We start from the raw sequence: 27,896 nt of genomic DNA on the forward strand, positions 1-27,896 counted from the left end.
TTTAAAAATTGTTTTTGTAGAGTCGGGGTCTCATTATGTTGCCCAGGCTAGTTTGAACTCCTGGGTGTAAGCAATCCTCCTGCCTTGGCCTCCCAAAGTGCTGGTTTACAGGCATGAGCCACTGCACCCAGTGGCTGTAAACTTTTTAATGAAACATAAAGATAAAAAAAGCGAATCCAGATTAGAAATTATGTTGGTTCGCTCAGACTGTATCTAGTTAAATGAAAGTAAGGAAGGCCTTATTTGGCATCTTATCTTACAGGGGCTCTTCGGAAAATGCACAGTACTTGTTGGGGACAAGTTTCAGTGATTTACCTGATGCCAAATTTACAACGTTGTAATCTCTTGGAGAGATTATTACAGAAACAGGTTACATCAGTTTAAAACCAAATGGAAAGAAACCAGAGGTGCATGTTCTTTGTGTGTGTGTGTGTGTGTGTGTGTGTGTGTGTGTGTGCACGTGTGTGTGTTTGTATGACAGGGTGTCTGTCGCCCGGGCTGGAGTGATCTTGGCTCACTGCAAACTCCGCCTCCTGGGCTCAAGCGGTCCTCCCACTCAGACTCCCGAGTAGCTGGGACTACAGGTGTGCACCACTACATTTGGCTAAATTTTGTATTTTTTGTAGAGATGGGGTTTCGTCGTGTTGCCCAGGCTGGTCTCAAACTCCTGGGCTCAAGTGATCTGCGTGCCTTGGCCTCCCAAAGTGTTGAGATTACAGGCGTGAGCCACTGTGCCCGGCCTAGGGGCACATGCTCTCAGGAGCCCCTGGAGTTCTGTCACAGGGGAAAAAAATTATTAAAAAAAGAAAGAAAGAAGCCTGTTTTCAACAGAACTAGAGCCTATAGAAATTTTCATATTCCACTCTGTTGGAGGTAATTTCTTTCTTCAATTTTATTTGTCATAGAGTTAACACAGAACATGTTCATTTTCTCATAATTTTAAAGGGTGACTCTTCAAAGATACTAAGTGGTCTACATATGTCTATTAGAGACAAACTTTTATGCCGATGCTTGACCTATGAAACGTTAAGATGATTGGAAAACCGACTGATTTTTTTTGAGATGGAGTCTCACTCTGTTGCCTGGGCTGGAGTGCAGTGGCATGATCTTGGCTCACTGTAACCTCCACCTCCCAGGTTCAAGCAACTCTCCTGCCTCAGCCTACCAAATAGCTGGGATTACAGGCACCAGCCACCACACCCAGCTAATTTTTGTATTTTTAATAGAGACGGGGTTTCACCATGTTGGCCAGGCTGGTCTTGAACTGCTGACCTCAGGTGATCCGCCCGCCTCAGCCTCCCAGTGTTGGGATTACAGGCGTGAGCCATCGTGCCTGGCCAGAAAACTGACTGATTTTTAACCTTGTGTTTGGTTACTCTGGTCAAGTATAAGCAGCTATGGAGTACGATGAAGGTGGTGGGCTGTTAAGTGTGCCTTAAAAGAAGGAACAAAATCTGGGGTGCTGGAACCTGTTCATAGTGCAGAAGGAGCAGGCACAGGCAGGCTTCATGCTTACCTTCCCCTCCTGGATGGTGACCACGTCTGGGAGACCTCCCAACACCCGGGCACGATCTGCAAGCATAGGCATTTTGGGTTAATCACTGCAGTGGCAAGGCCAGCGGTCATACTCACAAAACCACCCAGGAAGCTACATTTCCAATTTAGTTTCCTTCTCCTGATAGTTCTTTTATACAGTTTTCAACATGCAAAAAAAGAAAATGATCCAGGGATTCAGGATTTTTTTTTTTTTTGAGACAGAGTCTCACTCTGTCACCCAGGCTGGAGTGCAATGGCGGGATCTCGGCTCACTGCAACCTCTGCCCACTAGGTTCAAGCGGTTCTCCTGCCTCAGCCTCCCGAGTAGCTGGGATTATAGGCACCTGCCACCGTGCCCAGCTAATTTTTGTATTTTTAGTAGAGATGGGGTTTTGCCATCTTGGCCAGGCTGGTCTTGAACTCCTGACCTCGTGATCCATCCACTTCAGCCTCTGAAAATGCTGGGATTACAGCAGGCGTGAGCCACCGCACCCGGCTTTTTTTTTTTTTTTTTTTTTGAGGCAGAGTCTCGCTCTGTCACCCAGGGTGGAATGCAGTGGCGCAATCTCAGCTCACTGCGACCTCCGCCTCCCAGGTTCAAGTGATTCTCCTGCCTCAGCCTCCTGAGTATCTGGAATTACAGGCCTGTACCACCACGCCTGGCTAATTTTTGTATTCTTAGTAGAGACAGGATTTCACCATGTTGGCCAGGTTGGTCTTGAGCTCCGGACCTCAAGTGATCTGCCCGCCTCTGCCTCCCAAATTGCTGGGATTACAGGTGTGAGCCACCATGCCTGGCTGGATTCAGGATTTTAATCCTTCTTCACCGTCATATTGTGTGTGTGTGGGGGGCGGTGGGGGAGTGCCTGTATCTGTATCTAAAATACCAGTGTGTGATAGCTTTGCCATATCAAGACCCGCTCTATCATTTTCATGGCTGTTTTTGGCCCTGACCCTTCTGCAGCTTAGTAGGGCTAAGCTCAAGGAAGTAGAACAGATCTCTATGGACAGCCTCCAAGCGTAGCTTGGCCTCTTTTATGGGTTTCCATATGATGAGAAAAGGTTGCATAATGGAAGGGCTACATGCTAGGGAGATTGGAGGCTCATGCAGATGTAAGCATTTTTTTTTTTTTTTTTTTTTTTTAAGAGACAGGGTCTTATGTTACCCAGGCTGGTCTTGAACTCCTGGGCTCCAGCCATCATCCTGCCTTGGCTTCCCAAAGTGTTAGGATTACAGGCACAAGCCACCAGGCCTGGCCATAAGCTTTCCTTGAAGCCTTCTCTAGAGAGTGTCCCTTTCTTGTCTCCCGGTAGTTCTTGGTAGTGCTGTGCAGGCCACTGTCTATGGCTAGGAGTATAAAGGCCTGCAGGTGAGGGGACGAGGCACAGGATGGGTGCTGGGATCCTGGGTGCCCTCAGCCAAGCTATATGCCCTGGGCATGACTGCCTCAGTCCCTGGAAAGGGCACCTTCCTGTCATTCATTCAAAGGTGTTCTCTCTGGCATGAACACAGCAGCCACCTCCCTCTCATTTTTCGGCCTGCTTCAATTAATGTGTGACTCTTGACTTCCCTGTCTACAATTCCCTTCTCCATTAAGTGAGGCTAAAGCTTTGCTTTTGGTGAAACATGACAGCATTCTACTGCTAATTCCATCATGCCACCTGTAAGCCTAACCCTTCTTCTGGTTTCCTGTGTGACATGCTGTGTGATACTGGGCCAGTCACTTCACTGTGTTGGCCTCAGTCTCCTAATTTGTAGAATGGGGGACAAGGGTTGCATTAGACCTGGGGATACTATGATTATTTCTGAATAATGCCTTTTAACCAATCGAATGTTGCCTTTTCCGATGCTACCTATGGCTTGCCTGGGCATGCCCACATGTGCATTGGGGGAATGGGGGGATCCACCAGGAATTTGCACCTTATGCAGGGGAGGGGCCTGGCCTCTTCAGCTCATCCACGGTAGACCTGGTATTCAACTGTGAGAGGGAAACCTGCTTGGAGAAACCCTCTCTTTGCCGAGAGTTTTCCTTTCGCTTAATAAATTCTGCCTGCCTCACCCTTCAATGTGTCCGCATGTCTAATTTTTCCTGGTTGTGAGACAAGAACCTGGATTTAGCTGAACTAAGGAGCAAAAATCCTGCATCAATTTGAAGTAAGTGTTCCATAGCTTACAAAAGTTTACAAACATGGAGCTAGAAAAGCTCTAAGGTTGCTTCCAGTTCTAAAGAGTTCATGAACTCCTTGCCCACAGAAGAGTTCAAGAATCTGGAAAGACAGAAAACTGCTTGTGGATGTAGGCTTTGCTCAGTACCAAACAAGAACAGCTCTCTCTTGCTCAACACCCCACTTCCCCCTTGACCTCTGGTGCCCCAGTACCAGCCTCTGTCCCTTACCCCCAGCTGCAGTCCACATACACAGGGCCTGAGCAGGAGGGGGAAAGTGGAGAAGGGAGTGGAGGGGAGCAGTGCAAGTTTCAGGTTCAAAGTTCAAAGTTGCACCCAGAGGCACATGGAGCCCTGTGGGGAAGGATGACTTCCCTTCTTGCTCCTTCTCCCTGTCCCCTTCACATCCAGCTCAGGTGGACTCTACCATTTTAGCCTGTAACAATTTTAAAATTCTGGCTCCCACTCGGACAAAGAAGCTGAATTAGTATTATGGATTAGTCAGTGACTCCTAAGATCCTGTAAGACTGAGTTCTTCTAAAAATCTGTGTGTGTGAAACAAACAGCTCACAGAAATACTGCAGTGTGTGTGTTTCTGGGTACACATGCAGACTTGACAGATTGGTGTTGCTTTGCTTGGACTGTGTCTAGTTATATGAAAGTAAGGAAGGCCTTATTTGGTAGCTTTTATCTCGCAGGGGCTCCCAGGAAAATGTACAGTATTTGTTGGGGCCAAGTTACAGTGAATTACTTGATATCAAATTTACAGTTTTCTATTTTCTTTTGTTGTTGTTGTTTTGTTTTGTTTTTGAGACGGAGTCTTGCTCTGTTGCCCAGGCTGGAGTGCAGTGGCGTGATCTTGGCTCACGGGTTCAAGTGATTCTCCTGCCTCAGCCTCCCAAGTAGCTGGGATTACAGGCACCCGCCACTACACCCGGCTAATTTTTGTATTTTTTAGTAGAGACGGGGTTTTGCCATGTTGGCCAGACTGGTCTTGAACTCCTGACCTCAGGTGATCCGCCCACCTCGGCCTCCCAAAGTGCTAGGATTGCAGGCGTGAGCCACCATGCCTGGCCCTTACAATGTTTCTTGTTGCTTCTTTTCTCCAATATATACATATTTTTATGAAACACTGTACCTGCAAGTCACTAACAACCTACTGTATGATTTGCAGCCAAGAGGTTTCTCAGGATGTCTGGGTTGTAGCTCAAGTCAAGGGTAGGGTGACATTCTTTACAATGTAACCTGAGACCTTCTTTTCCTAGATATTCTTACTCAAAAGACTAAAATGAAAACATATGTAGAACACCTAAGATTTAAAAAAGAAAAAAACCACTTCCATTCTCCTCCATCTGTAGTTATAATAGCAAAATAAAATTATCTTTTGAATCTATCCCAGGAGTACTTGTGAAAAGTAAAAAAAAAGTTTACTTACTTTTCTCGGCAATGGCAGCTTGTCTGTGGTTGAGAGAAACGAACAAACAGACGAAGAATTTTGTGTTAGTGTTACTTCAAAGTAGCTAAACTTGACGACATTTTCCTTGCCTCAGAGACATTTTGCTGTTCAATATAACAATGGGAAGTGCTGCTTCTACTGTACTTTCTGAAATAAAAGGCTCTTTCTAACACTCAGAGGGGCGAGCAGCATGCAAGCTTCCCGGGAAATTAGTGCATGCAAGTGGCATTTGCTAGGACCAGGGACTTACTTCAACCTCTGGAATTCAGCATAGGCCTCATCGTATGCTTTAAAAGAAAAAAGAAAAGTTAGAATTTTCTCACCCAGAATTGATGACACACAGGGGCGATTAAAATTCACAACTGGAGATTGCTGTGATCGGTCCAGACATGACTAAACCGACTTTGATTAAGACTGTGCTTATGTGTTCACTCCACAGCTTAATGTACTTAACAAGGCCAGGAAATACATTGTAGGCACAAAATATGAAATAGTAGATTTTAGAAGCTTTCAACTCAGCAAGAGGGCTTCAGCCCCTCAAACGGAAAGGCAAAGATTAACTCCAACAAAGAAAAAATGGGAATAAAAGTCTGTTTCTTTTCTTTTTTTGAGACGGAGTCTTGCTGTGCCCAGGCTGGAGTGCAGTGGTGCAATCTCGGCTCACTGCAACCTCCACCTCCCAGGTACAAACGATTCTCCTGCCTCAGCCTCTCAAGTAGCTGGGGCCACTCAAGTAGCATGCGCCATCACACCCAGTTAATTTTTGTGTTTTTAGTAGATACGGGGTTTCACCATTTTGGGCAGGGTGGTCTCAAACTCCTGACCTTAAGTGATTTGCCCGTCTCGGCCTCCCAAAGTGCTGGGATTACAGGCATGAGCCACTGCGCCCAGCCATAAAAGTCTGTTTCAAAGAAAAGCTGGTTGTTGAGTAAACATCCTGAGTGTCAAACAAAAAGGAAAACAAAAACTTTGTCTTATTAAATTATCCCAGACATCAGAGCCTCCTAGATAGGCAGTTAACTCTCTTTCTGTTATGCTGTCTGGTCTGTTTGGGCAAAAAAGCACAATGAGTTACTGTAATCACAGAGGGTGCTGGTGCTTGCCTGAAGCAATGTTTCTTATGCCATGATGGAGAGGGGATGAAAGGCAAGTGGGACAAGAAAATGAGATCTATATAGTTCTCAAATAATTTTTTTCTGTGCCTGCCGAGTAAGCCACTTTGATTAAAGATTCAAGCAAAATGGCAGCTTTTTTTTTTTTTTTGAGACGGAGTTCTGTCACCAGGCTGGAGTGCAGTGGCGAGATCTCGGCTCACTGCAACCTCCACCTCCCCAGTTCAAGTGATTCTTCTGCCTCAGCCTCCTGAGTAGCTGGGACTTCAGGCACCCACCACCATGACCAGCTAATTTTTGTATTTTTTGTAGAGACGGGGTTTCACCACATTGGCCAGGATGGTCTCGATCTCCCGACCTCGTGATCCACCCGCTTTGGCCTCCCAAACTGCTGGGATTACAGGCGTGAGCCACAGCTCCCAGCCTTGTTTTTTTTTTTTTTTCAAGAGACAGGGTCTTGCCGTTGCCCAGGCTGGAGTGCAGTAGTGCAATCATAGCTTGAGGTAGCCTCGAACTCCTGGGCTCACATGATCCTCTTACCTCTGCTTCTCGAGTAGCTGGGACTATAGGTGTGTGCCACCACACCTAGCTATTTTTACATTTTTTTTATTTTGTAGAGACAGGGTCTTGCGATGTTGTCCAGGCTGGTCTTGAACTCCTGGGCTCAATCGATCCCCCTGCCTCAGTCTCTCAAAATGTTGGGATGACAGCTGTGAGCCACCATGTCTGGCAGGTCGCTTCATTTTGAAATCCCTCTCACCTCATTTTTAATCTCCTCAGTGGTCTAGGAATCATATTTTAAGTCTAGAGAATGCTTAGATAATACTAGTTTATTCCCTCATGTTACAGATGGGAAAAATAAGTATAAAGCTAGGCTTACAGTTGCTAGTCCTGATTTTTTCTCATCTGTAAAATGAAGGGTAGACCAGTTAGGCGGACCCAGGCTGAGGTTAGTGCTTCCTCTTGTCCCCGCACCACTCTGACAGAGAGGTGGGAATGGCCGAGCCAATCTGTGCTTGGTGGCAGTGGCAATGCTGGTAGGACAATCTACAGCCTTTTCCTTAAAAGGGATTTCAGAGTGGTGTAGTTAAATAAGCTTTGGTGAACCAGAGAGTAAAAATAAAATTTAAAAAAATTAAACATTTTCCACCCACTGACTGCCTCCCTTTTTCCATTGTGTTTCACATTGTCAGATGGAGTGTGGAATGAATCCCCTGTCACTGTGCACTTGTGATGCAGGCAAAGTGTGTCCTAGAAAGTCCGCGTCCCTCTGGAGCAGCTGCTCCCATTACTGAAAGGTCCTGCAGCGAGTCTTTCTAGTCGCCGTGAATGGGTGAGGTGAAGACAAGGGGATTCAGCACCAAAAACACTCACAGCAGGGCTGAAGGGCGACGCTCTAAGTGATGAATCTGCTCTCTGAGGTTGAGAAAACCTGAGTTACTGCATATTGAGGTTGTATTTTTTTTTTTTTTTGAGACAGAGTCTCGCTCTGTAGCCCAGGCTGGAGTACAGTGGCGTGATCTCAAATCACTGCAACCTCCGCCACATGGGTTCAAATGATTCTCCTGCCTCAGCCTCCCAAGTAGCTGGGATTACAGGCATGTGCCACCACAGCCAGCTAATTTTTGTATTTTTAGTAGAGACGCGGTTTCACCATGTTGGCCAGGCTGGTGTCGAACTCCTGACCTCAGGTGATCCACCCGCCTCAGCCTCCCAAAGCGCTAGGATTACAGGCATGAGCCACCATGCCCACCTGAGATTGTATTTTAAAATGAAGTGGAGGAAAAGTTAGTCCACAGTTGTCTTTATTAACTTTAATACAGTATAGACTATTTTATTTTATTTATTTTTTATTTTTTTAGAGACAGAATCTTGCTCTGTTGCCCAGGCTGGAGTGCAGTAGTGTGATCTTGGCTCACAGCAGCCTCAACCTCCAGGGCCCAAGTGATCATCCTAGCTCAGCCTCCTGAGTAGTAGGGATTATAGGCATATGCTACCACACTTGGCTAATTTCTTAAAATTTTATATTTGAAGAGCTGGGGCCTCACTATGTTGCCCAGACTGGTCTTAAATTCCTGGCCTCAAGTGATCCTCCCACCTTGGCCTCCCAAAGTGCTAGGATTAAAGGCCACCATGCCGGCAGACTATTTTATTTTTGTAAGAAAGAATAAGATGAAGAGTATAGTTCTGGGAAAGGGATAAATGGTCCAGTATTTTTTTTGACTTTTTGCTTATAAGTGAGCATTTTTAATATTTATTTATTTTTATAGAGATGGGGTTTCACTATGTTGCTACAGGCTGGCTGGTCTTGAACTCCTGGGCTCAACTGATTCTCCTGCCTCCCACAGTAACTGGGACTACAGGTGTGTGCCACTTTACCCAGCTACTTTTTTTTTTTTTTTTTTTTTTAGAGATGAGATTTTACTCTGTTGCCCAGGCTGGTCTTGAACTCCTGACTTCAAGTCATCCTCCTGCCTTGGCCTCTCAAGGTGTTGGGATTACAGGCATAAGCCACCATGCCCAACTCCCTTCATTCCTTTTAAAAGGCTCATTCATCTAGAGTAAATTTGAATCTGCAAAATATCTGTTTACCTTGTCCAGAGAGATCCACTGTCTTCTGATGTCCAGTTTTGCCATCAAAGAGCTCCATGACATACTTCCCTTTGTCATTCGGGGTGGGCTCGTTGATTTGTAGCCAGATCTGCTCTCCAGTGACCCCGGTCTTAACTCTGTCTGAGTACCTAATGGCGGACCCACTGTGAAAATCGAAGAAAACTTCCTTAGCATTTGCTTCCATCCAGGGCTGATCTTTACTTTGTCTCTCATTGAAGCTCTTGCCATAAAGTTTTGTAGGCTTTCAAAAAACGAGGGATCTGCATATGTTATTCTTCTGCTTCAGAAAAATTATGGGCCATGACACACAGAACCGGGATTCCAGGGCCCAAGGTGTGACAGTCTGAACATTTATTTGTTAATAACTCCTCATAGCAGTCTGAGGCCCAGTGCAAATCACAATACTAATACTTCTCGGTGGCATTAATTATCTTTGTTTTTGTTTGGGTTTATTTGTAGGACTAGGGTAATCTATAAAGCTAAAAGGCCAAACTACATACTATTTTACTGCATATTTCATCTAGATAATCTATGGCTATAAATCAGATTCTACAAGCTAGTCCAAAAACACACTTATGGAGGCTCATCTGTGCCTGACATCTATTGACATATGTTGTTAGAAAGCTATTTAAAACAGATAAATATGCACTTGGTAGTAGAGCCAAGAGTGAATGAAAAGCAGAGTTGCCGCCAACACGAATGAGGCATGTTCTCTGTCCCGGGATGTGAGTTTCTCAGAATTCTACAGTAGGTCATGAGCAGACCCATGCAATATATTCTCTGCAAGAGAATATTAGGAAATACAACCCTTTTTTGTGTGATCTTGGTGTAGAAATACTACAGATATAGACGAACTAAGAGAAAGCTAGGTAGATGTACTTTTAATTATGTTAAAAGAAACTTTATGAAGAAGTTATTAAAACTGAGGAAATGTTTAAAAAGTGGCATACAAAATGACGTTAAAAAGTGGTATATAAAATGACGTTATTATAGTAACCATCATGCATAGAAAAAAGGCTAGCAGGAAGTACCCTAAAATGTTCATATTATGGCTGGTAAAACTATGGATACTATTATATTATAGTTTTTTCTAATTTATATTATTATAAATGTATTTTCTGAAACAAGCATGTCTTACGTCTGTTGTAATAAACAAAATGAACTTTGGAAAACATAGAAAAACAAATTTTCTGGCTGGTCACGGTGGCTCACACCTGTAATCCCAGCACTTTGGGAAGCGGAGGCAGGCGGATCACCTGAGGTCAGGAGTTCCAGACCAGCCTGGCCAACATGGTGAAACCCTGTCTCTACTAAAAACACAAATACTAGCTGGGCATGGTGGCATGTGCCTGTAGTCCCAGCTACTCAGGAGGCTGAGGCAGGAGAATCGCTTGAACCCGGGAGGCGGAGGTTGCAATGAACCGAGATCACGCCATTGCACTCCAGCCTGGGTGACAAAGTGAGGCTCCATCTCAAAAAAAAAAAAATTTCCTACCTAAAAGCTTTTAGCTTTCTAATATTTAGCATTTTTAATAATATTACATTTTTTAAATAACATTATTTATCTAAAAAGATATTAAAAATAAAGATGCCATAAAATGTAAAGACAGATTTTGGCATGAGCAATAGATGTGTCTTAGAGAGTTAAACAGGGCCGGGCGTGGTGGCTCACGCCTGTAATCCCAGTACTTTGGGAGGCCGAGGCAGGTGGATCACGAAGTCAGGAGTTTGAAACCAGCCTGGCCAGCATGGTGAAACCTCGTCTTTACTAAAAATACAAAAATTAGCCAGGCATGGTGGCACACGCTTGTAATCCCAGCTATTTGGGAAGCTGAGGCAGGAGAATTGCTTGACCCTGGAGGCAGAGGTTGCAGTGAGCCGGGATCACGCCACTGCACTCCAGCCTGGGTGACAGAGTGAGACTCCGTCTCAAAAAAAAAAAAAAAGAGAGAGAGTTAAACAGAAAGATTGTCCTCTGCTTTGCTATAATAAATCTGTTTTAAATCTTTAATCTCTGGGTAACATGAATAAGGGTACCTTACATCTGTAATGTGCTTCCGATGGAATAGGTACTATTGGTCCTATTTTATATAAGAGAAAACTGAGATTCAGAAAATTAAATGACCTGTCTAAGATCATAAGGCAAGATAGGAACAAAGTGAAGACTAAAATCCGTTTCAAGGGTTTTTTTCCCCTCTATGCCACATACAGACAGCAAAGACCATCCTTATCCCTGAATGTCATAGGTACACGGAAACACAAGAGACATAATTGATTGACTAGACCAAATAATTAAGATACTTATGCTTTGCTGGCCTAATAGCAATTTCCTCAAAACATACTTTCAGTGTTCTCATTTTTGAACAAGTTAATTCTTTTAGAGAAGATATAAAGCTTTTTGATTGATGATTCAATGAATTTTACTTCTCTCATTCTTCAGACTGATATATTAGAATGTCCTAGATGCCACAGAGGAATTTCCTGGAATTTGATCTATTTTAGCTAATAATTACTTTCCTAAAATGTATTCTGAAAGAAACAGAACAAAGGAATAAGCCCCAAGCATTCTACATTGGAATTTTACTAATTCTCATTTTTATGACTCAGGAAATAATAAATCATAATACTAACGAAAACACTGTTTTATATAACAGTAAAGTCATCTTAAAGAAAACACAAATGGCTGCTTTGTGGGGCCTGGCTCTGGCTAACTGTTCAATCTAGCCCAGTGGTCCCCAACCTTTTTGGCACCAGGGACCGGTTTCATGGAAGACGATTTTTCCACAGACCAGGTCGGGGGTGGGTTTGGGGATGACTCAAGCACATAACATTTATCATCAGATTCTTATAAGGAGCGCACAACCTAGATCCCTCGCATGCGCAGTTCACAATAGGGTTCGCGCTCCTATGAGAATCTAATGCCGCAGCTGATCTGACAGGAGGCGGAGCTCAGGTGGTCATGCTCGCTCCCTCGCCCACCACTCACCTCCTGTTACACGGCCCAGCTCCTAGTAGGCCACGGACTGGTACCGGTCCATGGCCTGGGGTTTGGGGATCTCTAATCTAGACTTCACACGGCTGGAATCCAGTGGCAGGTAGTACCATGATGAACCGGGCTCTGGAGCCAGGCTGCCTAGGCTCAGCCTTGACCTACCTCTTAGCTGTGTGACCTTAGGCCGGTCACCTCCCCGAGCCCTAGCTCCCTCATCCCTCAAGTGAGGAGCACCTACCATGTAGAATGGTGAATGTGAAATGAATTCACATATGTAAAGGGCTTTGAGCAGTGCCCCCCATATTGTCAATGCCACTGAGGGTACAGTGTAAGGAAACTTATTATCTGCACCCTCCTGGGGATGCCATGTGACCTTCTTCTCAGTGGGGCTCCTAGGAACATTTGCAGTTTGGAACATTTGCATCCTGAAGTTGGACTGAATGTGGCTACATTCCATTGGATTATCTTTGCCAGGCCTCCGTTCTCTTTCAGCTCAGGATATTTCAAGGAAACACAGAGGTTAAGGACACTGTCAAGAGTGTAAATGGGAGGCCTGGTTTGATTTGGAAACTGATTTCAGCTCTTGGAATCCCAGAAGTGAACTTGAATAGAGTCCCTGTATAACTGCACAGAGGTTCAAACTCACCTTCCCCAAAGTCAACTTGAGATCTCCAAAGCCTTCTGAGAGTGGACCAGAAACATGCTAATGTCTCACTCTGCCAGATGCTATAACAACAACAATAATCTTGGGCACTCGTTGGATTAGGCTTCTTTGGTGAATGCCCATTCATTCATATCATGGGAAATTTGGTGCCTCCTGGTGCACACTGCTTCATTTCTGTTCCAGACCACAGATGTGTTAACCGTGTGTATAGAAAGAAAGGTAAGAATGTGGCTCCAGATGCCTGGCACAGCAGAGAGAGCCCAAGCATGACTGTCTGGAGGTGGAGGCTGCATTATAGAGATGTCTATGAATTATGGTACTTCTTAAATCACAAAGAAAGATGTACTGTAACTATGACTGGCCTCAGCATGTACATGTTGAGGGAAAGAGCTAACCTCACAGTAACAGAATGCCTTGGATGTTTATCTCCTGGGCTCACCAATGTCAGACTTGAGAATTAAGAAGACTCCTTACTTGAGAAGAACAGAAAAATTTTTTCCCTATCCTCCCCTCTTCCAGTGGGGAAAGAATTTCTTTTTCTTTCTTTCTTTTCTTTTTTCTTTTTCTTTTTCTTTTTTTTTTTTTTTTTTTGAGACAGTGTCTCACTCTGACACCCAGGCTGAAGTACAGTGGTGCAATCTCGGCTCACTGCAACATCCGCCTCCTGGGTTCAAGCAATTCTCATGCCTCAGCCTCCCCAGTAGCTCAGATTACAGGTGTCTGCCACTGCGCCCAGCTCATTTTTTTTTTTTTTTTTTTTTTGTATTTTTAGTATAGACAGGGTTTCACCATGTTGGCCAGGCTGGTCTCGAACTCCTGACCTCAAATGATCCACCTGCCTCGGCCTCCCAAAGTGCTGGGATTACAGGTGTGAGCTGCCGCGCCTGGCAGGGAAAGAATTTCTACACAGCAAGTAAGTTCTCATTTACTTACTTGTGGGACCAGTTAACTTTCAAATCCTCCACATAGTAAGTTACAAAAGAGTACAGTTGGATGCCCTCGGCTGTGCTCTGGATTTTCAGGTCTGTAGCAGACAAAGCTGAAAGAAGAAAATAGCATATTTCATACATCTGCATGCCCCTCCTGGCAGGAGGATCATAAAGCATTGTTGTGGTGCGAAATGTTTGACTCACCTATTTTTTTGCATACTTCCATCATCAGTTCCTTAAAGGCTGTGGAGAGAGATTCAGAGCCAAAACTTTAGCATAAAAATTCTCAATGTAAGGTTAAATCTCAAATTCTTAGCTCTCAAAAATTCCCTTTCTGGTTGAAAGGAAATGGAAACAAGGTGAATTTGTCGACCCACTGATAATGAGTATTCTTTGAGGAAATAGTTCAATTTTATCAGGTTTTAAAAGATCCCTGCTTATTTTGATTTTTTTTCCCTTGAATTCTTTGTCACAATCGCCATATTTACATTCTAGAGAAAGGGCCACAAGAGATTTCTAGGAAGGTTCTTGGCTTTGGGATTCTCTTTCTTCTTAATTCCCAGGAAGCCTTAGTTTACATTAGAGGACATTTTCTTAGCCGTGTCATCGATTCATAATGAATTAACCATGTAGGTCTCCTGGCCTTCATCAGCCTGATAATGCTTTTTGCCAATAAACACATTTAGCCCCACTTCCACCCAAAGTAGGAAGGTGAAATTAGTCAGACTTCTGCTGTTTGTTAGCAATATTGTTTTAAAAATCTTGTTCAGGAACAAAATTGTAAGTTTGGAGTTCCCATGTAGATTTTCATCATCATGATATATTTGTCCTTAGTAGTCTCTGAAAAATGGAATTTGCTTTCTTGCTGTGCTAAAAACTGCAAGGCTTCACATTTCATATATAAATCTTGCTTGCTACCTTTAGAGTGGACTATTTTTTGTCATGCTTCTCACAGAAGTTTTTGAGCCTGGAACATTTTTATAGAGTTGAAACAAAAATGATTTAAATTGAAAACAGATCCCTTGTGGACTCTGGACTATAAATTCTCTAAGGATCAAAAATACACTTCTGATTTCGAAGATGACTAGAAGTGAGGTATTTTTGAATAAAACAGTTCACTCTGTTGGAATTTCAATTAAGCCAAAATCTGTGGACAAAAAAAATCAGCATGATTTCAATCGTCAGCTCGGCCTCAATCATCATTCTGGTAAGCTGTATGCAGAAACACACAAGACAGACCCCAGCAGTTGGTGGACTGACCTTCATCCACAAGCTTCAGTCTGCTCTTATCTTTTCCTCGGTCATCTTTCAGGATAACTTCATAAATCCCAGCATCTTTCTTGGAAAACTAAGGGGGAATAGATATACCACATTGCACCTTTCGTAGCCCCAGGGCACGGTATCTGTGATTTTTTTTTTTCTTCTGCTTCTTCTGCTGCTGCTGCTTTTTTTTTTTTTTTTTTTTTTTTTTTTTTTTTTTTTTTTTTTGAGACAAGGGTCTCACTCTATCAGCCAGGCTGGAGTGCAGATGTGTGATTATAGCTCACTGTATCCTTGAACGCCTGGCCTCAAGCCTTGACCTACCAAAAGCACTGGGATTACAGGTGTGAGCCACTGCACCTCACCTGCTATCTGCATTTTTAAAGGCCCTTGATTTACAGAATTGCCATCAAAACACTCTTTGAACAAGCATCTAACTTGTGAGTGGTGAACCGTTCACAGATGCAGAGATGCACCTCTCCATAATAATTTGACCAGCGAGCTAGCAGTCCTGACTTTTTACCTTCCAAGGCTGTAATTGATATGAGGCTTAATGTCCTTACTTTTTACTCTGCCTTCATTTATTAAAAACTAGTGATCACTAGTTTTATAGTGATATATTTAAATGCTGTGCTCTTTTAGACAAGAAGTAGATAAAAATCTATCCTTAAATGAATACCATGTCTGATGTCTCTGTACTTTTAGGACCACGAGGCTTAAGCACAAATGAAGAATGATCCACTTCACTGCCCATATATGGATAAAAGCAACTCAGAAAAGCAAGAGTTGTGGCATTCAGCTCATACTGGTTTGCTACCTAACAAATCCACACACATCACAAGGTTAGAGAAGCTTTTGTGTTCCTACAGCAGTTGGAAGTAAGCTAATATAAATCCCCTGGTCATGAAAGGAATACAGAATCTAGTTACTGTTTTGGGGTAAGATAGAGGGTAGAGAGCTAATATATTACATTTTACATTTATAATCGCCTACCTCTGTTATAAGCAGGGTACATATACCATCCTTAAAGTCATGCTTTTCATCCACTGATATCTCCCTCTCATCTTTGTACCACACAATATGAGTCTCCTTCTTAATATTTGCCACCTAGGAGAAAAACCATAATTACTTTTCTTAAAATAAGAAAGTGTACTCTTGTGAAGTTGAATAGTTCTTAATGCAGCAAGATATAAAAGAAAAAGCACTGAACGTGGAGTGAGAAGACACAGATTTCTAAAGGAATGAATTGAAAACTATTTTAATTGAGAAAAGAGTTTAGAATCAAGTGGACACCAATGAATAAACCTAAATCAATAGCATCTCTATTTCCAGCAGTGAAAATTGACTCTAAAATCATGTGGTAGGAAAGAAAAGAGAGAATAGATACATTCATACTGACATACAAACTTAAATGAAAATAGAAGTCACAAAACCAAAGGGAGAAAAATCCCATCAGATTAAAATACAGGCTGTGTTACAAAAACAAATGGCTTTATTAAAGGAACAGAATGAGTAAGCGCCAATCTATATCTAAAAGTTTAATGAAAGATAAATGAAGCATTGCAAATATATGTGGAGGGGAGGTATGCTAAGTAAATTAATTACTTAGCAATTTCGAGGAGACTCACTTAGATACACTAATCTTCTCATCATATCATCTATTTCAAATGGACTAAACAACTGCATATGGTTAAAGGGATCTTGAGTTTCATCTACAATGCTTGAATTTTTTTTACAAAGGAGAATATACTCATGTATTTCTTGTATAATTCAAATTGTATGAAAAAGTAAAGACTTCCTACAAATCAAGAAAACCGTCTCAAAGACCCCACTGAATAATGGGTGAAAACTACATACCATTCCCCAAAGAGAAAATACAACCATAAAACCAACAGACAAAGACAATGTTGTCTCATTATACGTGACAATATACAGGTTTTAAAATGTGAAACAATTTCAGCTAATAAATAAACATAGGAACCACCCTGGCAACTGTAGTGAAACCACTACACACAATCATTCTTTATGACCCTGGAAACTGGTTCCTGAATTGTAGAAAGTGTGTTACCAGCTGACATTGCTTACGATAAAAATGACCTCGATTGGAAAGCTGTGTCTGGACCCAGAGGACTAGAAATGCACTCCGCAGCTTTGGGCTTTGCTGAGTACATTGCTCATGAAATTTGGACACATCCCTTGTGTGGATCCCAGAAGCTCTGTTTAGGCAGTTGTTAGAAAAGATACTAGTTCCTCAGGGCATGAAGTTTTTTTGGGCTTTTTTTTTTTTTAAAGCCGTGGTGACTTCCTGCACCTGCCCAAAGTGGATCTTGTCTCCTTGCATCTGAGCTTTCTGTTGTCCGGGATGGCAAAGGTCATAGCTCCACATGTGGACTCCTGAGGGAGAGGAAGGTCCCAGTGTGCAAGCTAGGGTTCCTCCTACGTTCTTTTTTTTTTTTTTTTTTTGAGACAGAGTCTCACTCTATCACCCAGGCTGGAGTGCAGTGGCATGATCTCGGCTCACTGCAACCTCAGCCTCCCGGGTTCAAGTGATTCTCCTGCCTCAGCCTGCCAACTAGCTGGAACCACAGGTGCCTGCCACCATGCCCAGCTAATTTTTGTATTTTTAGTAGAGACGGGGTTTCACCATGTTGGCCAGGCTGGTCTTGAAGTCCTGACCTCAAGTGATCTGCCTGCTTTGGCCTCCCAAAGTGCTGGGATTACAGGCATGAGCCACCGCTCCCTGCCCCTCCTACTTTTTATTTATTTATTTTTTTTTTTGAGTAGACTAGCGCCAAGCAAGACCCACGATACTCCAGTGAGTCTGAATGATTCGCTGCGCATACTCCATGAACTGTAATGCGACACGTGAGTGGCTAAATTTACAGGAATTGCCACAGTAACGGAACAAAGAGCTATGCGAAGACAGAGGAAGCGGGAGGCCTTCTAGAGATGACTGAGCTGGGCCTGGGAAAGGATTTTGTCAGAGAAGCTGAAAGAACGTCATTCCAGGCATTGGAACGACAGCATAACAGAACTGTGTGAATATTCACAATCCATTTCCAGACTGCCCTTGGTTGCTCAGAATCTGGGTATGGGGCTGATTGTCCTGAGGAAGGCCATCACAGGACACCAGAGCTCCTCTGGTGCAGAGGGAAACAGCAAGCGCAGAAGGCGAGGGATGTGTGGGCTTTTGAAAAAGGATAGCTTATAGGGAGGGGCCACGCAAATGAAGAAGTGAGTGGGACAGCAAGACGGAGCAGCTGGGATGAGAGAGAAGGTGAGGGCTTCAGCTGCTGCCAGAGAAAGAGTTTTTCAAGCAGCGTTGCCATTTCCTGTGAGGCTAAAACCTAGAACTGATTTTCCTTATATGTATTTCTGATAGACTGCTGTTTCTTTGAGTTTATCACATCTAGTAGACACTGGGGCACTTGGGTTCTGGCTTTTATCATGACAATTGTGAAATCCAGACCAAATGCCACACCTATGCTTCCACCTGTCCTTGTCAGCCAGCAGGACCTTCACGCTCCAACCTCACCCACCGGTTCCTTACCCAAAACATTTCTGATGACTCAGCTACACACCACATGCTAAAGTACAAACTTGTTTAGAATGCTGTATAGAATTTTTTTTTCCTGAATCTTTCCAAAGTCCTAATAAGACAATTGGTTGTGAGCTGCCAACTCTTTTCCACATGTCTCCCTTGGAGTCAGTGGCACAGCTGGGGAATACCCAGGGGTATTGTTGCACCAGCCTCACAATTTACATGGCAAGGTCCACGAAACATTGCAGCTGGAGTGATTCTGGAATAGGTCTATGACTTAGAATACAGATTTGGCTTAAAACAAAAACGTGAGAGTCTTTGGAGATTACTAATTAGATAAAAGTCTAGGGTGTTACTAACTAGATCATGAGTAGTGACTAGGAATGATCACCTTGCCTTGTCATATTTTATGTCATTTTATTTTAAATCTTTCTTATCAACAAATGGTTACAGTAACATTGAACAGTAAATATGTGTCCCACTTATCATTTTGGCTCAGATGGAAGAGATGAAAAATTGAGCTTCCTCTTCTCTACATTCTATTTTATTTCCCTTGAATCAAATATTAAAAATTTATCTACCTCTTACCTTGCATTTCAATAGTACATTACATTCACCAGTCACTTCCCAGCTCAAATACTCAACAAAGTGAGGACCTATAAAATTTTAATGACATTAGCAATTACTCTATTAATCACAAATGCAAAATCAAAGCTCACACTTAAGTCCTAAGGTGATTTACATCTGAAGTCAGATTTTTAAAATTCTAGATTTAGCTTTTAAATATTTTAATGTCTACATATTTAACAGTAAATATTTTTAATTATTTTAATTTACTAGGCATTATTAACATAATCAATAATATTCATTTTAATTTGTTATGGAAATAACCTTGGAATCTTTTGTACAAAAAAATTAAAAATTTTCTCTTTATCCACGGCCTATTTTTACCTTGTTTCCTGATCCATTCTTGCCGCTGGAATTCAGCTTCTTTCTGGAGCTTTTTGAAAACTACAAATTGAAAAACAAGGAAGTGTGAAATTGAGTTGGGTGGTATAAATGCACATGTCAGCCACTGCACTAAGTGATTTATATTCATTATTGTAACACTCATACATTGTGACAACCCTGCTCATTTTTTATCTTTATAGATGAAGAAATAGGCTTAGGAAGGTTAAATAAATTGTACAAGGTCATAAAGCTAGGAAACAGTGACATAATATTGGATGTTGCAAATACAGAGATCTGGCCGGCCTTTCCATTGCCTTCGTAACTGCCACATTTTAAATCTGGGTGGTAGTAAGTGAGCAGCTGATTTACTACAATCCAGTTACAATGTATGATTAGTAGATTCGGCAGGCACTACTTTTGCATATTTTTCTTCTCAATTTTAGTAATTTACAGTAAGTACACGTGGCAAAACAGTCTCATGGTTTGTTTCTGAGACACATACAGTCTTTGTTGTATTGCAATCTCCCTCACTGGAGAATTTTAGCAATAAACATTTGTTTATATATGAAAGTATTTAAACGCAGTCTTGCCTGTGAGCTAGGAATAAATTTGGTGTTCCTTTAAATTCACTTTCATTTCCATGAAATAAAATACCATGTAAAGTATTAACTGAAAACTGTATTTTTTTTTTTTTTTTTTTTGAGACAGGGTCTCACTCTGTCCCCCAGGCTGGAGTGCAGTGGTGCGATCTTGGCTCACTGCAATCTCTGCTTCCCGGGTTCAAATGATTCTCATGCCTCAGCCTCCCAAGTAGCTGGGACTACAGGTGCACACCACCATGCCTGGCTAATTTTTGTATTTTTAATAGAGGCGGGGTTTCACCATGTTGGCCAGGCTGGTCTTAAACTCTTGACCTTAGGTGATCCACCCGCCTCGGCCTCTCAAAGTGCTGGGATTATAGGCATGAGCCACCGCGCCCAGCTGAAAATTGTATTTTGAACATTAGAAGTCAATTAAGAAAAAATTCCTACTACCTTTCAAATAACAACTTTTGTGCCATGGGGTACTTAGATTGAAGGGAGTAGCAAAGCCTGCTGGTTAATGTTCCACGGAATTCTTACCATCTCCAACGAGAACAACAGTAGAATGGTTAGTTGCTTTTCCATCTTGAAGCTGGAAAGTGTACGTTCCCTCATCCTCATCCTGTAGCTTTTCCATGAACATTTCGATGATGCCAGTGTTTCGGTCAATATGCATTTTATATTTCTTCAGTGTGAAAAGAAAATGACAGAGAAATCACTGAGGCATATATTTTACTTGGAATGACAACAAGCTTGATGAAATAAAAATAAACCCCAAAGGCTAGATGCAGTGCCTGTTCATGCCTGTAATCCCAGTACTTTGGGAGGTCGAGGTGGGAGGATTACTTGAGGCCAGAAGTTTGAGAACAGCCTGAGCAGCAAAGCGAGACCTTGTCTATATAAAAATAGAAAAATAGGCTAGGCACAGTGGCTCACGCCTGTAATCCCAGCACTTTGGGAGGCTGAGGTGGGCAGATCACCTGAGGTCAGGAGTTCGAGACCAGCCTGACCAATATGATGAAACCCCGTCTCTACTAAAAACACAAAAATTAGCCTGGTGTGGTGGGATGCGCCTGTAATCCCAGCTACCTGGGAGGCTGAGCCAGGAGAATTGCTTGAACCTAGGAGGCAGAGGTTGCAGTGAGCCGAGATCGCACCATTGCACTCCAGCCTGGGCAACAAGAGCAAAACTCTGTCTAAAAAAAAAAAAACATTGAAAAATTGGTTGGGCATGGTGGTGTGCACCTTTAATCCCAGCCACTCAGATGGGAGGATCTCTTGAACCCAGGAGGTCAAGGCTACAGTGAGCCATGATTGTGCCACTGCACTCCAGCCTGAGCAACAGAAGGAGACCATGTCTAAAAAAAAAAAATTAAACATTAAAAATTAGAATAATAATTTAAATAAAATCTCTTCATAACTGAACAAGTGCTTTATATTCTTATACCCAGGTAAAGGGAAATATTATGTGGAGTTTATGACCTAGACCAGAATAGATTACTAAAAAGTCTGAAATTTAGTTTCTTAAATCTAAATAAAGTTTTGTTACCCCAAGTCACAAAATGTCAAAAAGTTGTCTTTAGACTCTCACATTACCTTCCAGATTACATTATTTATTTATTTATTTATTTAGAGACGGATTCTTGTTCTGTCGCCCAGGCTGGAGTGCAGTGGTGCAATCTTGGCTAATTGCAACCTCGGCCTCCCAGGTTCAAGTGATTCTGCTGCCTCAGCCTCCTGAGTAGCTGGGACTACAGGCGTGTGCCACCATACCCAGCTGATTTTTGTATTTTTAGTAGAGACAGAGTTTTACCATGATGGCCAGGCTGGTCTTGAAGTCCTGACCTCAAGTGATCTGCCCACCTCGGCCTCCCAAAGTGCTGGGATTACAGGCATAAGCCACTGCTCCCGGCCTACATTATTTTTAATGAGTAGAATAATGTAAAACTATAGGCAGCAGAGGCAGGTATCTTGCTCATTCATCGCTATCTCCTTGGCATCTTGCACATACATGGTATATAGTAGTCAATTAATAAATATCTGCTGAACTAATACATGAAAAAAAATGCTTCTAAATGTGTTTACTCTCTCTTTTTAGAGATAGGGTCTCGCTCTGATGCCCAGGCTGGAGTGCAGTGGTGCAATCATAGCTCACTGCAGCCTCGAACTCCTGGACTGAAGCCTCAGGCCTCAGGATCTTGAGGCTAGGACTACAGGCACACACCACTATGCCTCACCAATTTTTAAAAATTTTTTGTAGAGATGAGGTTTCACTATGTTGCCCAAGCTGGTTTCAAACTCTGAGCCTCAAGTAATTCCCCTGCCTTGGCCTCCCAAAGTGCTGGGATTACACGTGTGAGCCACCATGACTGGCCCTATTTGCTCTTAATGAATGGAAATAGCCCTATTAGACTATACTTATTTTATCATATTGTTTAGACAACTTTTTTTTTTCCCAGAATGTAAAGATAAGTTTTAGTTGCTAGGCATGCAAGCACAAATACCATGATGGATTTGAATTGGTTAACTTTTGCTATATATAAAATGTCACAGAATGAAGGCTCAGGTCTGGGATGAACTCTGTGATGCAATTCATGCTCCCGAGCCTCACCTGCAGGAAGTCAGTCTCCAACTGAGACCACATTTTTGCTTAGCATCCCCCCATCCTATCCTGCTCCCCAACAATAAATCACTTGAACGAGAAACTACTTCAGACTCTCTTTCTAAGAAACTTAAGAGAGCAGCTGCATACCCTCAAGGCAACATGTATGCACGCTTGAACACGTGAAGGGGAGTACGTCTATATGCACATATGCATGAATGTTCACTCAATGGCTGTGGGGTGATGAGTGAGGCCAACAACACTTTTCCTTCCTCTCCCCTGACCAGGTGGTGATCACAGCAGTCGAGGGAACATTTTGAAAGTGGAGAGGAGACGGGTCGCAGTGGACACAGGAGTCAGGAGTGACTTGTTCTGGCCCCACAGCAAGTCACTCTATGCACTGGAAAGGACTATACTGCATACTCTCCTAATATTCATGGTACTCGTTTCCCTCTCACTAACAAGTCCTCAAATGTTTTAAAAATACATCTCAGTGAAAAGGGAAAGGGTTGCTACTAATGGCCACAAACCACACCTCCTCTGCCCTTTCAGTTTCCCATTTACACCCATGATAGCACAGGTCAGTGCCCCTGAACCCCCAGTTCTTCAGTACTGCTGGGCACTGGCCTGATCTTGACTTGACTGACATCTGTGGGGAGGACAAATAAAACTTAGATGTTGTAACTCTATCTACAAAAACTATGTTTATGTTAAAAGGAAAGGAAAGAGTATTTTATATATATACAAAATCACCTACGTAAATATGACTCAAACAGACGTACACACAGAGAAGCATAGAAAAAAGTCTAAAAAAGTATATACCAATATGTACATCAAAAAGCCATAAGAAGTGTTACAGCTCTTTTAGAATTTGTCTAGCAGGCTTTCCGGTTTTTGCTGGAAAGACTCCCCACCACCACCACCAAATTAAGAAAAGCCGTAAGAATGTGTGATTAGTCCTTTCTGAGTCTTTAATGCTTTTTACAATAAGGATGTATCGTGTTTTTAACCAGAAAAGCAATGAAAGGTATTTTTATTGCATTTTTCAGAGCCATTGGGACAAGAGGCCTATTCTTCATATAATGAATCAAGTCCGTGCTGGGGTGTCCAGTGTGAGTAAGATGTGAATTCAGGGTAGGGTATGGGCTCCTCTGCCTCCCAGGAGAGCCTCTCTATTTTCATGGGGATCATACATCTCGGTTTGCCTGAGACCGTTTTGGTTTATGACTATTTATGACTGTTGTCCTTTCATTCTCAAAGCGTCCCAGTTTGCATAATATGTTATAGTCAATCTGTATTTTCATTTCACAGTTTTCACTTGTGAGAAGGATTTAAACTCTCCCACTCCACCACCCAGCGGTTTTTATAACAACATATCCACATCCACATAAGGCTTCCTCAGTGTATTCTACAATGATACATTAAAAAGTCTAAACAGTGTAAAACCTACCGGGCCTTCAAAAATTTCCTTCTCGTTAAATATGTAGTTGACTTTGGCATTGCCAGACAGTTTCTCAGCCTGCATCCAAAACCGGACCTGGCCTTTCTCCAAAATTTCAACTGCCAACTCTGATTTAACTGGGACAGCTATGAAAAGTAAAAATAAACACAGTAATTATATTGGTAACCAATTATATTGGTACTCATTTTCCATCAAGTGAAAAAAAAAAAAAAACCACACAATGGAAATGACAATGTAGCACCTGCTTCTTGCAAAGCCCAGAGGCAGTGAGAGTTGCAGGGAAAGCCTTAGATTAAAGACAGAGGGACTCAGCTCTGATGCTGGGACTGTCACTTGGAGCAAGTTGTTCATTCTCTTTGAATCATAGTTGTCTCAACTGTAAAAATGAGGAAGATGAACTTACCTCTAGGGGCATAGGGGCACTTGTAGCTAATATCTGTAACTTTCTACTGTGGCTTTTGGTTGGTGTTTTTTCTTTTTCTTTTTCTTTTTTTTTTTGCAATAGGTTCTCACTCTGTTGCCCAGGCTGGAGTGCAGTGGCATGATCTCGGCTCACTGCAACCTCTGCCTCCTGGGTTCAGGCGATCCTCTCACCTCCGCCTCCTGAGTAGCTCACACAACAGTCACGCACCACCACATTCGGCTAGTTTTTTATTTTTCTTTTATTAGAAAGAGACTCACTATGTTGCCCAGGTGGTCTTGAACTCCTAACCTCAAGTGATCCTCCTTGGCCTCCCAAGGTGTTGGGATTACAGGTGTGAGCCACCTCATCTAGTTGGCATGTGCTGTATTTTAAATTAGAAGCTTCCTAAACTTATGTCAAATGTAAATTAATATTTCTTTGTATTTATTTTAAAACTACCCTTTTCAAGTTTCAAGGGATGATTTTCTTTGCATTATTCCATATTCACTACCAAGTTCAGTGTGATACATTCATTCCAATGCAGGACTGAGAGGGGGCTCAGATGTCATCTATTGAGGGGGTTTCAAGGTGGAGAGAAGGTGGGCTTTGGAGTCCCACCAAGATCTGGACCAGTTACTCTCCTCCTTTAGACCTCGTGTCCCTCACCTGCTAACATGGATGTGCTATGAAGAGTAAATATAAGGCCGGGCATGGTGGCTCACGCCTGTAATCCTAATACTTGGGGAGGCCGAGGGGGGCAAATCCCTTGAGGTCAGAAGTTCGAGACCAGCCTGGCCAACATGGTGAAACCCCATCTCTACTAAAATTACAAAAATTAGCCAGGCGTGGTGGTGGGCGCCTATATCCCAGCTACTCAAGAGGCTGAGGCAGGAGAACTGCTTGAACCTGGGAGGCGGAGGTTGCAGTGAGCCGAGATCGCGCCACTGCACTCCAGCCTGGGCAACAAAGTGAGACTCTGTCTCAAATAAATAAACAAACAAACAAATGTAAATATAGTAAGAGAACACATTAAGGTACTGTGAATAGTGGTCTGTGTTCAAGAAGGTTGGTTATCTTCCTCCCCTCACTTTACTGGTCTCTTTACAAAATCTCAACTGCACCCCAGGAGACAGTGGTAACACGTCTGGGTGGTGGAGCTGAGAGCAGGGTCACTCCCTCTCTTCTGTATTCCTCTTGGTCCTCGTTGTCCACACGGTGGTTTTCCAGTGTGAGCAGGATGTCTGAGTGCACCAGGGCAGCAAGGGCAGAGGCTAAGCTTCTCCCTTACAGGATGCTCATGCTTGCTACAACTAAGTCTTGAGGAGAGTAGAAAGCACAATTTCTTCTAAAAATATCTGGAGACCTCATTCTAGGAAACTTACTATGTGAGTGAGGAGGTTACCTAAGAGGCCCAGAGTGATGAGGGAGGAGGAGGAACAGGCCCTCCTGGAAGTCTCCAGCTCCCTTAATGTTCACTGTCCTCCCTGAGTCCTGAGAACATCGTCTGGGGAATGCTGGCCGCCTTGAATGTCCACAGTGGGCACGGAGCAAATGTGGCCGTGCCTACATAGAGATAGCCCACATCACAGTCAGGGGAGCAGGCTCCAGAGGCAGACCACCTGGGTTTAACCAGCTGTTTGCAAATGATCTAGTTACTTAACCTCTCTGGGCCTCATGTTCTTCCCCTCTAAAATCAAATCGCCACAATACCAACCCTTTTAAGGTCATTGTGGAATTCAAATAATATATACTGCTTAAATACTCTATAAAGAGCCTGGCATATAATAAATGCTCTATTAATGTTGGCTGTTAATATTTTGTTATCTCTCTCCTCCTCTAGTTGCTTCTACAACACCCTAGAAACACCATTTTTTTTTTTTTTGAGATGGAGTCTCACTCTGTCACCTAGGCAATGGCATGATCTCGGCTCACTGCAACCTCCACCTCCCAGGTTCAAGAGATTCTTGTACCTTAGCCTCCAGAGTAGCTGGGATTACAGGCGAGAGCCACCACACCTGGTTAAATTTTACAACCACTAATTTTAGAATATAATATGTTGACACCTAAGAGGACACACCAACATATCTGTATTTATGTATACGTGCTTGTGCTTGCCTCCCCACATATAGTGCATGTATACAAGAGGGGTAAAAACCGGTGTCTGCAAATGAAGGGCTATTATGCAGCATGCTGATAATACCAAAGTGTACCCTCCACCCACCCCCTCAAAATACCTTGAATTCTTGGTGTATGGATATATATTCAAATAAGCTATCTTTCCACACTGCAATTTAGTATCAATACTGGCAAGATAGACTAAGTCGATTTCTATTTTTAGCTTTGTGCATTTCTATTTTTTCTATTTACTCAGCTCCAAATTTCCTTAGGCTCTTTTCTCTGGCAGTTAATGTGCCTCAGCGAAATATGTTATTTGTAGGTTTAAGGCACGTGTTTAGTGGTTTTCAAAATAATTTTGAAAACAGCTTAAAATAGGAGAATTTACTGTGCCAAAGGATAAAGGAATACTATACTCTTTATTACATTCTCTAAGAAATAAGACAGTTTAAAACTTTACAAAATCTCAAGAAAACGACTTCATCAACATGCCAGCATTTACCAACAGGAAGTGGGTATGAATCAAGAAATTGCATGTGCTACTTTGATCCTACCACCAGACCTCTGAAGATATTCACCTTGTGACCTCATTGGTCTGATAGTGGTAGGGGAAAGAAAAGAGCTGGAGTTTTAGTATTGAAAAATGTTGCTTCCTTGGGTTAACCAAAACACCCTTGGGTTGGGGGCTCTGATACTTGCATGTCAGAGTTTGTTATTTTGTGATTTTTATACTCATTTTTTTGTGACAGATTCTCACTCTGTCACCCAGGCTGAAGTGCAGTGGCATGATCACGGCTCACTGCAGCCTCCAACTGCTGGGCTCAAGTGATCCTCCCGCCTCAGTCTCTCGAGGAGCTGCGGCCACACCTGGCTAATTTTTGTATTTTTGTAGAGATAGGGTTTCACCATGTTGACCAGGCTGGTCTTGAACTCCTGGGCTCAAGTGATCCTCCCGCCTTGGCTTTCCTAAGTGCTGGGATTACAGGCATGAGCCACCTTGCCCAGCCGAATGTCAGAGTTTTAATCACATTCTCAGGGTCTCTCTACCAAAATGCGACACTGGGTCTCTAATAAAAGGATAACTGAGTTTGCTGCTACCCTCTCTCGTAGCACCAATAATCAGAGTTCTTGGGCTTATGCAAGATAAAATATCTCAGCATAAATGATAATGACATCAGGCAATGCCTACTGCCCGGACTAATTCTCTCTCCAAGTCCATATGAACACTAAACTCCAGGGAGGCCTGGGCATCTTGAGCTCAAAAGTGACACCCCATCTTCTCTCATCTCCAACCTTTAAGCTGAATGTAAATGTTGTTTGGACTAGTTGTTGTCTAGACACTTAATCAATGTTTATTATCTGACTAGATTAGTAGGTGCTGCTGTTTCTCCCCATTTCTGTCAATGTTCGAGAGTAGAAAGTACAACCATCTTATGTAGCTTGGAGACTTCTGCGTTGGGCAGCAGGTTCAGGGATCACTGGTCTGTTTCAATTAATGTTCATATTTTTCCTGA

At 42.7% G+C, this 27,896-nt stretch overlaps 1 protein-coding gene and 1 pseudogene across 6 annotated transcripts in view; one reads left to right on the forward strand and one right to left on the reverse strand.

Annotated features, from left to right (window-relative positions):
* Positions 1–27,896, reverse strand: part of MYOM1 (myomesin 1) — a 180,570-nt gene that overhangs the window by 3,511 nt on the left and 149,163 nt on the right. For all 6 annotated transcript variants that reach the window (XM_047437910.1, XM_047437911.1, XM_017026062.2 and 3 more), the window contains 12 exons: positions 23,853–23,989; positions 20,341–20,485; positions 19,220–19,279; positions 18,857–18,924; positions 15,721–15,834; positions 14,728–14,815; positions 13,672–13,710; positions 13,472–13,577; positions 8,862–9,025; positions 5,408–5,444; positions 5,137–5,159; positions 1,517–1,572 (listed from right to left, as the gene is read on the reverse strand). In XM_047437910.1, coding sequence (XP_047293866.1) covers positions 1,517–1,572; positions 5,137–5,159; positions 5,408–5,444; positions 8,862–9,025; positions 13,472–13,577; positions 13,672–13,710; positions 14,728–14,815; positions 15,721–15,834; positions 18,857–18,924; positions 19,220–19,279; positions 20,341–20,485; positions 23,853–23,989 — 1,037 coding nt within the window. The remainder of the gene's footprint in view (positions 1–1,516; positions 1,573–5,136; positions 5,160–5,407; positions 5,445–8,861; positions 9,026–13,471; positions 13,578–13,671; positions 13,711–14,727; positions 14,816–15,720; positions 15,835–18,856; positions 18,925–19,219; positions 19,280–20,340; positions 20,486–23,852; positions 23,990–27,896) is intronic.
* RNU7-25P (RNA, U7 small nuclear 25 pseudogene) lies at positions 23,252–23,314 on the forward strand (annotated as a pseudogene).

This window comes from Homo sapiens, chromosome 18 (assembly GCF_000001405.40).
Source record: "Homo sapiens chromosome 18, GRCh38.p14 Primary Assembly".
NCBI lineage: Eukaryota > Metazoa > Chordata > Mammalia > Primates > Hominidae > Homo > Homo sapiens.